Source organism: Homo sapiens, chromosome 1, assembly GCF_000001405.40.
Source record: "Homo sapiens chromosome 1, GRCh38.p14 Primary Assembly".
NCBI lineage: Eukaryota > Metazoa > Chordata > Mammalia > Primates > Hominidae > Homo > Homo sapiens.
The window spans coordinates 17,384,649-17,397,239 of record NC_000001.11 but is presented as its reverse complement, the minus strand read 5'-3'; the positions used below and the strand labels follow the sequence as shown (position 1 = coordinate 17,397,239).

The window sequence follows — 12,591 nt, the reverse complement described above, 5'->3', positions numbered from 1 at the left end:
CAACACTTCACCCCTCAGGAGGGGTGGGTGGAAACCTTCCTGCAAGACCTGCGGCACCAGCTCTTTCTTGGGGATGGCCCCCTTCACACTGGTCCTACCTCCACGTATTCATTCTGCTTCTTCAGGCTTTCATCAGCCAGAAGTTGGTCGATGGTTTTGGCTTCCCTTCCTGTAGGAAGAAGCGGGCAGCAGGCCTGCTGGTCAGGGAATGGCAGCACTGCCCAGAGCTGGGCACACTCGGGCCAGGCCCAGCCACCTGGGTGCATTCCTGGGCCAGTGACCATGGCGAGAGGACTGGCCTATCTCCAGGGATCACACCCTCAGGTCCAATATCTTCCTTCTGGGGACTGACCAGGGTCTACACCAGAACTCCCAGGCAGGACTTACTGCCACTGGCCACTCTGTCCCCAGCATGAGGGGGAATAGCCTGTGCCAGGCTGAGGGACACAGCCTAGAGCTTGTTAGGATGACTTCAGCCCCTACTCCCCTTATGCCAATACAACCTGGCACTTTCTGCCTGTGACCCTCTCCAGGTTACATTACCTTTGTTCCTCAATTGCCTGATCTTTGGGACAGGGATGCCCAATTTATTTGCCAGCTCTGAGGTGATAGTCTTTGTCATGTGGTTCATGCTCAGCAGATGTCACCTTCCATGGTGCTTCTATGACCAGGAGTTCCCGGGCCCCAACCCCAAAGGCTGAGTATCCAGGAGGTGTGGAGCAGGGTGGAAATTCTACATTTTTAACAAGCTCCCAGGTGCGCTGGCCCTCAGATAACACTTTGAGTATTGAGGGTCTAGAAAAACCTAATACCCCCAGCCCCTTTCTGGGTTCCTACAGCCTTTATTATTTTTTGAGATGGAGTCTTGCTCTGTGGCCCAGGCTGGAGTGCAATGGCACGATCTTAGCTCACCGCAACCTCCACCTCCCAGGTTAAAGCGATTCCCCTGCCTCAGCCTCCCGAGTAGCTGAGATTACAGGCATGCACCACCATGCCCGGCTAATTTTCGTATCTTTAGTAGAGATGGGCTTTCGTCATGTTGGCCAGGCTGGCCTCGAACTTTTGGCCTCAGGTGATCTGCCCGCCTCAGCCTCCCAAAGTGCTGGGGTTACAGGTGTGAGCCACCATGCCCAGCCCACTCCCACAGCCTTTAGATCAGAAGTGCAATGGCACCAGCCACACCACCTCTGCTTGTCCACCTGTGTGTTTCCTTAATGTAACCAGGAGACCCACAAAGTCCCAGTCCCTAGATACTTAATCCAACATGCCCTGAATAAATCCAGGCACTAGCATTGTTAACACCCGTTTTCCCCCCACTTGGGGCCACCTATGTACTAAGTGAGTCCCCCTTCAAATACATCCAAACAGCCTCCAGGCCATCCCAGAACATCTGGTCTACTTGTGTTGTAGTACCACTAGAGCAGCCCAGAAATAAGACGTTCTAATATGGCAATTCCAACAGCTTCTGTGCTTCCCTGGCATCCTTTACGCCAAGCGTGACAGAATGGCTATGTAGAAAGGACCCCTGGAAAAAGGAAGACCCCAGTTCTGTTCTGTGGAAAGGGAGTTCCCTTACCATTAGACAGGAGCTGATCTGCTCTAAGCTCATCAAACAGAAGAGCGTCGCCATAGCCTTCCTTCTGTTTCTCTCGGAACAGTTTATAGCAGGCACTGGGGCTGGCCAGGAGCAGCAGGAAGCCCTGGGAAACAGAACTTGGGTCAGAAGCCAGCTTTCTCAGCTGGACATGGTGGCTCATATCTGTAATCCCAGCACTTTGGAGGCCGAGGCAGGCAGATCCTCTGAGGTCAGAAGTTCGAGACCAGCCTGGCCAACATGGTGAAATTCCATCTCTACTAAAAATACAAAAATGAGCCAGGTGTGGTGGCATGTTTCTGTAATTCCAGCTACTCAGGAGGCTGAGGCAGGAGAATTGCTTGAGTCCGGGAGGCAGTGGTTGCAGTGAGCGGAGATCACGCCACTGCACTCCAGCCTGGGTGACAGAGCAAGACTCTCAAAAAACAAACAAAAAAAAAAAAAAACAAGAAAAAGCCAGTTTTCTCTCCAGAATCTTCCAAGATTCCCCAACAGAAGGCAAGGGTCAGATGTCCCTTCTCCAGACCCCAAAGCAGACCTTTTTGCCCTCATTCTTGTCATCTGTGGGGATGAAGCACATGAACTCATCCACGTGGCCAGTCATTAGCCAATCTGAGTAGAGCTCCACCGGCGCTTGGACCTGCTGGGCATAGAGGAAGTCTCGGAGGGTCTTACTCATGGCCCGGCCCTCTGCGCTAGAAGGAAGATGGAAAGAACAGCTCTTGAGCCAGTGTGGCCCAGGGCTGGTCACCCGCCACTTGGTGTCATGCTGCCTCCAGGGAGCTGGCCTCTGACCGTTGTGTGAAAGAGGCCGGTCCATAGCGGATGTGTTGGTTACGAATCCCTTACTCTGACCCCACTCAGAACAGAGCCTAGTGTTTCTAGACAGACAAGCCCGGGCACAAGTATCATTTTGGATTTATGGCCACCAAGAAATCCAACCACATATCTCTTGGAAATGACATCCTGGTGGACCAAATTTCACTTGTTTCAGTTTAAACCCTGGAATCAAAGAATAAATGGTTTATTCTCATCTTTAGTCTCCCACGTGAATCAAAAGCTCAAATGTCTTCAGTTTAAGAAATGGTCCAGTGTGTGTGACCTGCTGAGGTGCTATGGGAAGCAGGCGGGGCCAGGGGAACGACCATGGTCCCTTCCTTTCATTTGGAGGCGTCTGGCTTTGTGGCTCACCTGGGGTAAAAGCTGCTGCCAATGAGGACTCTGCCCAGCGGGTACTCTTTCCCTTGGACCTTGACAGGTGGGGACACCATCAGGTTCCCAATGGAATCCATGCTGGCCACTTTATGGTCCTCAGTGTCCTGGATCATGTAGCCAATACCAGGGCTCTGGGGGAGAGACCGAGCCAGGGAAGGGGTGTTAGTAGGGGATGGCTTTAGGCCCCAGTCTTATCCCTAAATCCAGGCTCTCAGGTAGACTTCCACGTCCCCTCCCCCCTCAGAGGCCACCTGGGCCCTCTCCCCACTTGGTGCCCCATTATTTCTAGGCAGGCCCCAGGCCTGAGAGATTGGACTGAGCTCAGATTAGCCAAACCAAGTTCCACACCAGTGAGTACTTCATGGGGAACTCATCGAGATCGGCGGCCTGAGGTGTGTCGAGGATCAAGGACGTTGTCTTGTGGGGAGCCTGGGTGTAGCAGAAGGCCATCTCATCCTGGAATGGAGAGGAAGACAGATTGTTTGCCAGTCACACATCTCCCCGGACCCCATTTACGGAAAAGGTACGGTAAGAACCCCCTTCCTTCCTGCCAACTCCTGCTCAACCCTCAACACCCAGCTCAGATATCACCCCTTCTTGAAGGCTCTCCGATCCCTCTCTCCCCTACTCTTCAGGTTTAAGACTTGAGCATCCATGGCCAGGTGTGGTGGCTCACGCCTGCAATCCCAGCACTTTGGGTGGCCAAGGTGGGTGGATCACTTGAGCCTAGGAATTCAAGACCAGCCTGGGAAACATGGTGAGACAGTCTACTTAAAACAAAACCAAAAAGTTAGCCAGGCATGGTGGCTCATGCCTGTAATCCCAGCTACTCAGGAGGAGGCAGAGGCTGCAGTGGAGCTGAGATCGCGCCACTGCACTCCAGTCTGGGCGAAAAAGACTTGAGCATCCAGATTCTTCCTTTCTTCTTTCGTAAAGAATCCATTAACAAGCCTTACTGGCTTACATTCTGAGTCAGCTCTGCGCTGGTGCCACTCAGGAAGCCACCGTGTCTCCACCCTATGCCACTGTGATGCCTTCCAGTTTCGCTTCTATTCTTGCCTACTCTTAAGATCTGTTCCCTACATCTTAGCCAGAGGGGTCTTTTGAAAACCTGAACTATAACCTTTCATTCCCGATTCATGCTTTGAGTGTCTCTTGTTTGTCCTTAGCTTAAAAGGTACCTTAACCAGGAGGTAGCCCTGCCTTTCACCTTTGTTCACTGTGATCTGTCTGCATCAGCCTTCTTCAAGACCTCCAAGCACAACCCCAGATTTTTTTTTTTCTTTTGAGACAGTCTCGCTCTGTCATCCAGGCTGGAGTGTAGTGGCGTGATCTAGGTGCACTGCAACCTCCGCCTCCTGGGTTCAAGCGATTCTTCTGCCTCAGTGACCAGAGTAGGTGGGACTACAGGCGCGCGCCACCATGCCCGGCTGATTTTTGTATTTTTTTAGTAGAGACAGTATTTTGCCATGTTTTCCAGGCTGTTTTAAAACTCCTGACCTCAAGTGATCAGCCTCCCAATGTGTTGGGATTACAGGCTTGAGCCACTGCACCCGGCCAGGAACTCCTTTTAATCCTGGCCACCCCTGCCCCAAATCTCTGCATGGCCAGCTCCTTGTTTCCTTAAGTTTCATTTGCAGATTTTCCCAACTATTCTTAAACTGCCTCATTTGGTCTAATGAATCACTGTATCATCTCATTGTCTAAATTTCATAGCACTTAAAAGTTCTATCCTTGCTAACATGGGACAGCATATGTTCCAGTTTATCTCTGGTGCTCAGGATGGCGTGCCTAGCATGTGATGATCACTCATCTGCAGAGGACAGAGCTCTAGAACCGAAGGCTGACCGGGGCTCTAGACTTGGTGCTGTGCCAGAGTCAGGCGGGACCCCAGGGCAGTGGCCCAGCTCTCACAGCCTTAGCCAAAGGTATCAGAGCCTTCCGGGGCCTGGGGGTTAGGGTTCTGTGGTCTTGAACACGTGTCCATTCTGGAATGGGAAGGAGGCTGGACTCTAACTATTCCTTAGTGGCCATGACTCAGGCAAATCCTCATCTGAGCCTCCACTGAAGTCCTAAGAACAGGGCCGCCCCTATCAAGGCTTCGGTCTTTAAGGTTAACCAGAAGCCTGTGAAGTTCCTCTTAGGTGGCACATGCTGAGTCTCCCCACCCCTCCCCGACAGGTGGGTTCCCAGGTGGGGTGTTACCTGGAGCCACCTGCCCAGGCGGTTGGGGTCCTCATAGACAGATGCCACCTGGCTGTTGCTCTTCTCACTCAGCTTCGTCACTGTGTCCACAAAACCCTGCAGCTGCAGCTCCCTGCCATGGGAGAGAAGCCAGTTCTGGGAAGGCTTTCGAAGGTCCCTTACTGGTTATGACCTCCTTGTGCCAAGAGAGGAAGAACACATCCTTCTCACCAGGAGAGGTTACATCCCTGCCCGTGAGGTCGACAGAGCAACCATCCCTGACCTCGGCACAAGCCAGAAGCTCAGAGCCCATCTTGTCTGACACTACTCAGCTTTGCCCATGGCAGAGCCAGGTTGGGAAGTGCCAGTGGCGGCCCCTTCCCTGGTAGCCAAGGCCTGCTCTGTTTATACCCTTCGGTCACATTCTGCAAGTACCCTTCCTTTCGTTCTGTCACCCAGGCTGGAGTGCAGTGGCATGATCTGACTCACCGCAACCTCCACCTCCTGGGTTCAAGTGAGTCTCCTGCCTCGGCCCCCCACAGTAGCTGGGACTATACGCCTGCCACCATGCATGGTTGTCATTTTTATATGTGTGGCGTTGGGTGGGTCTTGAGCCCTGGGGTCTTCAAGCCGTTGTGCACAGCATCAGGCTCACAGATCTACAGTGGCCATCCCTTCCTTGAAGGGAAACAGCAGTGTGTGAGGCTGATGTTAAGACCACTCATCTGGCCGGACGCAGTGGCGCACGCCTGTAATCCCAGCACTTTGGGAGGCTGAGGCGGGCGGATCACCTAAGACTGGGAGTTTGAGACCATCCTGGCCAACATGGTGAAACCCCATCTCTACTAGAAATACAGAAATTAGCTGGGCGTGGCAGTACATGCCTGTAATCCCAGCTTCTCGGGAGGCTGAGGCAGGAGAATTGCTGGAACCCTGGAGGTGGAGGCTGCAGTGAGCCAAGATCACACCACTACACTCCAGTCTGGGCAACGGAGCGAGACTCCATCTCAAAAAGAAAAAATAATAAATTATCTTAAACAAACGGAACAAACAGGTCCTCAAAAGTTGGAGGTCAGCAAGGCCCTAATATTGGGAGATATTGAAATTGGGACTGTAGTCCGGCTTCAGGTCCAAAGCTCATGTTGCTACTAATAGAATACAGCAATGTAACTACTGGCATAGCACATTCATAGTATCTATGCTACTGCTCCAAAGAACCTATTTCTTGGGTCTATGCAAAGCCACAGGGAGCTACCAGCCTGACAAGGTCTAGAACAGTCTGACGCTTACTGGGGGAAGGGTGTGTCGGCTCAGTCTTGCAGGTCATATGCAGCTATATGGGGTCAAACCATGCCTGAATATCACACTGTATGGAAGACTTGGGTTTCTTTGAAGAACAAGTAGATGCCTCCTGTGAGTGAGAAACCCGTCTTCAAATACTCGAGATACCACATCTCTCTGCTTTATGTCTTTTGTATCTGCCATCAGCAGAATCCCATCAGACTTTCTGAGATTTTACCTTCTCATCCTGAAGCCTGCTATTCCTCTGAGGACCACACTCCCCAGGAGCCCTGCCCTGGAAAAGCTGTCTGGCTTCTACACCCACGGAGCCTGGAAGAGGGGTAGAAGTCTTTTTTTTTTTTTGAGATGGAATCTTATCTGTCACCCAGGCTGGAGTACAGTGGTGCAATCTTGGCTCACTGCAACCTCCGCCTTCTGGGTTCAAGAGATTCTCCTGCCTCAGCCTCCCGAGTAGCTGGGATTACTGGGGTGCACCACCATGCCTGGCTAATTGTTTTTTGTATTTTTAGTAGAGACGGGGTTTTACCATGTTGGCCAGGCTGGTCTTGAACTCCTGACCTCAGGTGATCCGCCCGCCTCAGCCTCCCAAAGTGCTGGGATTACAGGCATGAGCCACCACACCCAGCAATTTTATTTTTTGTTTTTGAGACAGTTTCGCTCTTGTTTCCCAGGCTGCAGTGCAGTGGGGCTATTTCAGCTCACTGCAACCTCTGTCTCCTGGGTTCAAGTGATTCTCCTGCCTCAGCTTCACTGAGTAGCTGGGACTACAGGCATGCACTACCACATCTGGCTAATTTTTGTATTTTTAGTGGAGACGGGGTTTTACCATGTTGGCCAGGCTGGTCTCGAACTTCCGACCCTCAGGTGATCCTCCTGCCTCGGCCTCCCAAAGTGCTGGGATTATAGGTGTGAGCCACCACACTGGCCACCTTTTCCTATTAGTGTTTCCCATCCCTGCTAGAGCATTCCATCAGCATTATCCTTTGCCTCCTACCTTAAAAAAACAAAAAAGCCTTCACCTAAGGAATTTGCAATAAAGGGCAACGTGGTGGTAGTAATCTGGAGGCGGCCGGTGTGGAGCGAGTGGGGCGGGGGTGTCCTACCTGCGGACCAATCCCAACTAAAGGCTGCTCCTGCCACCCTGGCTTGAGCCATGCTGTGTCTAGACTGGTCTTCCACCTTTTATCTGTACCTGACTTTCCATGTGGCCAGAGTGATCATGCAGACAGAACCCTTGGCTTCCCACTGGTTCTGCCTTCAGGATCCTATCTCCTTTTCTCCCTAGGCATGTGGCTACATAGCTAGAGACTGCTCCTGGATTCCCTGAAGCCGGACGTGGCCCCGTGCGTGTTCAGGATTTTGGCATGTGAGAAGTGGTTCAGGAGACTTCCAGACCACTAGCAGCAACCATAGGTTGCAGTGTCCAAATCTTGGCTCTTTCTCCCTCCTGGGGCCCGGGCCTGGACCTAGGATGTGTGCACTCAGCCTCCAGAGAGGAGGCAGCCACCCCAGGGGAAAGCATAACAAGACTGAAAGGAACCAGGGCCCCTAAGTGGCAGTGGGCGAGCAGTACCATCTTCCTGCAGGCATCCAGGTGACAGAAAGCTTTCACCACTGTATTTAGAGTAGGTATGGCCCCAGCTACCTCACCGTAACACCCAGGGCCCACAGGGCTCTGCTCTTTTCACCCATCCCCACACCGCCCCTTCCTGGGCTCACACCTGTTCTCTGGCTCCGTAGGAGCTTCATCGTCCCTGGGACAGGTTCTCATCCTGACCTCTCCATCTTCACCCTGCTTTAGAGCACTTGGTACTGTTTAAAACCATGCCGTTTGGCCCTCACATAATGGGGGGACTGTCTCATTCACTGTTCCATGCCCATCTTTGGGAATATTCAGGCATGTATTGGACTGTCTTGGGGCAGGTCCAGACAGCTCAGACAGAAGGGTTTCAACTCTCCTGGTGAGAGGTCCTAGTCATCTTCACCCACCCTGCCCTGCATATAGAAAGAAGAGGGTGCCAGTTATGAGAACCGCCTGGCACAGTCAGCCTGATGGTCTCTCACCTGCACAGGTAAACCTCCAGAGGCACCTGGGTACAGGGAATGAAGACACAGGGAGCCACCCGGAACACCACCGTGTCTTTGTACAGCACAGTCTCTGGAATTGACTGCAACAAGACAAGGTCCTGTTAGCAACCTGCTTCCACATTTACTCGCTCCCCTCTTACCCCAGGGTTCCGGCCGTTCAGTCCGGCCCCCAGCTGGGCCCCACTTGCCTTCTGCAGCTCTCCCCCAGCAAACCTCAAGCTCTGCCCAACTGTGGGAGATGGCTTTTCCCCCACCGGAGCATCCTAGTCTGAGGACCCATCTATTATGGGGACATACCGGGTCTTGAGACTCCTCCACCAGGGACACAGAGTAGGAGATGAGGCCTGAGAATTCGGCAGATGGGAATGCTATAGCTTCAACGTAGAAAGTCTCCTTCAAGTGGTTCCCGAGGAGGGCCAAGGTATAGGCGTGCTGGTCGGGCCCCAGCACCAACTCAAAGGTACTGGAGTTGTCTTCTAGGAGAGAAAGAAGGGATGGACCAGCCACTGAAGTAACCTGGTGCCGGTCACATTTGATGGTCAAGGTACCAGCTCATTCCTCATATCAGATGCAAGGCTGTGAGTTCCAGGAGGGCTGGAGCTGAAATGGCTCAGCCATCCCCGTTTCTAGCATTCAGGTCTTGGTAGACAACCAGATGTTCATACACAAGCAATGGCCAGTTATTCACCAGTATTCCTTGAAGACCTATTACATGCCAGGAGTTGGAGCTCAGGTGATGATGCCTTCAAGGCTCCTGACTGGTGTGAAGCCTCAGGGTAGGTGGTTCTACATTTTGGCCCATGAATCCAACTCCTGCGATAATATCAGAGTCCTAAAGGTGAGAAACTGTCCCAGGCTGGGCTCAGCAGCCTCATCTGAAAAAAATCACTTACTGATGCTAGAAAGGTCAGTGAGAACCATTTATTGGATGGATTATGCCTCCATCAAGTTTTCTGAAGAAACCAAGTGTTCTTATGATTATACATGTTAAGCCTGTCTCCTAGTTTTAGGTCATTAAATACAAAACCATGCACAGAAGAGATCAGAAGGAAGTTGACCACACGTGGTGGTTGTCCGTTTGCTAATTAGATCCTAAAGGTGTTTTTGAGAGGGAGTCTTGCTCTGTCGCCCAGGCTGGAGTGTAGTGGCGTGATCTCAGCTCACTGTAAGCTTTGCCTCCTGGATTCTGGCCATTCTGCCTCAGCTTCCTGAGTAGCTGGAACTGCAGGCACCTACCACCACACGCCTGGCTAATTTTTTGTATTTTTAGTAGAGACGGGATTTCACCGTCTCGTTAGACAGGATGGTCTTGATCTCCTGACCTCGTGATCTGCCTACCTCGGACCTCCCAAAGTGCTGGGATTACAGGTGTGAGCTACCACGCCTGGCCCCCCCCCCTCCTTTTCTTTTTTGAGGTGGAGTCCTGCTCTGTTGAGCAGGCTAGAGTGTAGCGGCACTATCTCGGCTCACTTCAACCTCCATCTCCTGGGTTCAAGCAATTCTTGTACCTCAGCTTCCTGAGTAGCTAGGACTATAGGTGTGCACCACCATGCCCGGCTAGTTTTTTGTATTTTTAGTAGAGATGGGGTTTTACCACATTGCCCAGGCCAGTCTCCAACTCCTGAGCTCAGGCAATCCATCTGCCTCAGCCTCCCAAAGTGCTAGGATTACAGTCGTGAGCCACTGTGCCCAGCCCAAGTCCATTCATTTTCTAGGTCAGAAATGACCCTGACTTCTCCCACCTGGGTCACTCGAACTTCCTCTTTCCTGGCCTGTCCTCTATCTGTGCCCGATGTGGCAGCTGTAGGCCTGATGGCTGTTCCTGCTCAAGATTCCAGGTGACTTATTTCAGGGGATCCTAAGCTAGATTTACCTTGGCCACTAGAACCCCAAGAGATCCAGGAACTGTAGCATCCTCAGACCTTCTGCACGGCACTGCCAGCTGCCTCCATCTCCAGCTCCTCCAACGTGCCAGCAGATGGCTGCAGCTGCGGCCGTGGCTGCCCCTGGTTAGGCACTGCCCTGGGTCCTCGGCCTCTTGCTCTGGGTTAGAGCCCCAGCAGCCCTCCCGATGGACTCTGCAGTTCTGCAGCAGCCCCTCCTTGGAGGCCCTGGGGATGCTGGTTACAGGCCCAGCCTCAGTCCTGCTGCTGGCTGTGAGGGAACTGGGCCCACCGGGACCACTCCTGTGCTAGTTCCTGCTTCTCATCTACCTAGATGCTTCACCAGCCCTGAGCCAGGCCTCATGGGGCAAGACCAGACAAGGCAGTCTTCCCCCAGGAACCCCTGCAACTTCCCAGTGCAGACACAGCCCTCTTGACCTGCGATAGCATCAGCAGGCCCACGGCATGCAGCCCAAGAGGTGCCACACACCTAGGGCCTGCTCCTGTTCTGGGGACCTGGGCTCCCTGTGGCCATTCCACCCAAGGGTGATTCACCACCAGGCAGTGAGGGCGAGAGGGTCACAGTCTGTTTGCCACAATCCCCTACTGGCTGGCTCTCCTGTGGTTGACCTTCTGGGGGCCCCTCTCACAGATAGTTTGTTGTGAAGCATAGCTAACATTTCACTGTGGGCTATCTTTGCTAGGAGCTGTGGTAGGTGTTTCAGGCTCATGGGCTCACATCCTCAGGACCCTTTGAAGCAGGCATTTGTTGTCCCCATTAAACAGAAGCATGGGGGAGGCCAGAAGCCCTGCGACCCAAGTACACACAATAGCTGCCTCTACCTGGAAGGCCCTCCCTGCCCTCAGTCCTCACAGAGCTGCCCAGGAGGCCTTAGCTACCTCAAACTCTCCCTACCCACCCTGGGGGCATATTAAAGGGCTCCCTCCAGCCTCTGCTGGGTCCTCGACTGTCTGTCCATCTGTCGTAGCAGGCTCTGAGAGCAGGTAACATGGTTTATTCTTCCAGAGCTGGATCCTCAGGGCACAGAGCAAATACTGATGATTTGAGCTGAGCTTTTTCCTACCTGCCATGTACTGCTGGACTTACAGGAAGGTGGGTACCCTTCTTGGTTCTTCACTGGCACTTCTCGGCCATTTCTCTATTCCTCAAGAATCCCAGTTCCTGTGAAGTGCTGGCCATCAGATAATGCCAGCTACCCCTTTCTTTTGGGGACGACGATGTCATCCTCTCCATCCTTCGTGGATTGTTCTAGCATACTTGCCCTCCACTGCTGTTGTGTCACTGGTATCTGACAATAGACTAGAACATCTAGACATTTTGATCTCTCTTCGACGACCTTATTTCAATGAACCTGGGTTCTATACCACCTTAGACATCCATTACAATGATCATAACCCAGACTAGATGCCACCTCCAAGGCAGACAATGCCTTCCGATCTGTTTCGCTCACCTATGCTCCCACCCCAGCGAGTCCCCAACCTCAGTCCCAGATCCTCCTACCGATCCCCACCCTCCATCCTCACACTTCCCTTTGACCCTTCTCAGAGCCCAAAAACCCATCACTACATCCTCTCTTATACACACTGTCCACTCCCACACCTTTTTCTAGTTTGCTTTCCTGGAAAACCTCCATTCTGGTCACACCAGGTCTTTAAAGCTCACTCTTGCACCTGAGATGCTGGAGAAAACCATCACACCAAAAGGCCTCATTTCAGGCTACGACCAGACCTCAGAGCAAGCCACCAACACTACTCAAACACTATCGTCTCATTCCTGTCCACAGACTCACCTGTATTCCATAGTCCTAAAGGTGATCCTCCTGCCTTGGCCTCCCAAAGTGCTGGGATTACAGGTGTGAGCCACCACGCCCAGCCTGTTTAGAACCTTGTCTTCTGGCTTTCTATTCCTCTGCAAACTTCTCAGATCTTCCTCTAGGATCCATTTCCCCACCCCTGTTGGATCAGTTCCATCTATACATCTGCCCGTGTACTACCAGCTTCAGACACGCTCGACTGCGTGCTGGCCCCTGTAATTACCACCACACATCTCCCTTTACGGAGAGAGAATTCTTTCTGTGGCCTAGATTTACTGTGCCTCCCCATTTCAACCTGGCTTTTCACTGTTATTATCAGGGTCACTGATGACTGCCATTCTGAGGATTGTGACTTTACTATGGGCTTGGGCATCTTAGTCTATCCCACAGCATTTGCCAGGGTTGGCCACTGCCTTACTTTGCCCAGACTGGAGTGCAGTGGTGCAATGTCGGCTCACTGCAGCCTCTGCCTCCCGGGTTCACATGATCC

At 52.5% G+C, this 12,591-nt stretch overlaps 1 protein-coding gene across 1 annotated transcript in view, besides 1 other annotated feature; it reads right to left on the bottom strand.

Annotated features, from left to right (window-relative positions):
* Positions 1–12,591, bottom strand: part of PADI6 (peptidyl arginine deiminase 6) — a 29,504-nt gene that overhangs the window by 4,460 nt on the left and 12,453 nt on the right. The window contains exons 7-14 of the mRNA NM_207421.4: positions 8,681–8,859; positions 8,360–8,463; positions 5,015–5,126; positions 3,158–3,265; positions 2,786–2,940; positions 2,133–2,289; positions 1,577–1,700; positions 99–169 (exon numbers count right to left, since the gene is read on the bottom strand). Of these exons, the coding sequence (NP_997304.3) occupies positions 99–169; positions 1,577–1,700; positions 2,133–2,289; positions 2,786–2,940; positions 3,158–3,265; positions 5,015–5,126; positions 8,360–8,463; positions 8,681–8,859 (1,010 nt within the window). The remainder of the gene's footprint in view (positions 1–98; positions 170–1,576; positions 1,701–2,132; positions 2,290–2,785; positions 2,941–3,157; positions 3,266–5,014; positions 5,127–8,359; positions 8,464–8,680; positions 8,860–12,591) is intronic.
* Positions 2,320–3,519: an enhancer, noted in NCBI's record as "BRD4-independent group 4 enhancer chr1:17720217-17721416 (GRCh37/hg19 assembly coordinates)". NCBI's record gives its function as "activates an origin of replication core promoter dependent on BRD2, P300/CBP, MED14 and CDK7 cofactors, and independent of BRD4, by STARR-seq in HCT116 cells {active_cell/tissue: HCT116}" and the evidence as "EXISTENCE:reporter gene assay evidence [ECO:0000049][PMID:35650434]".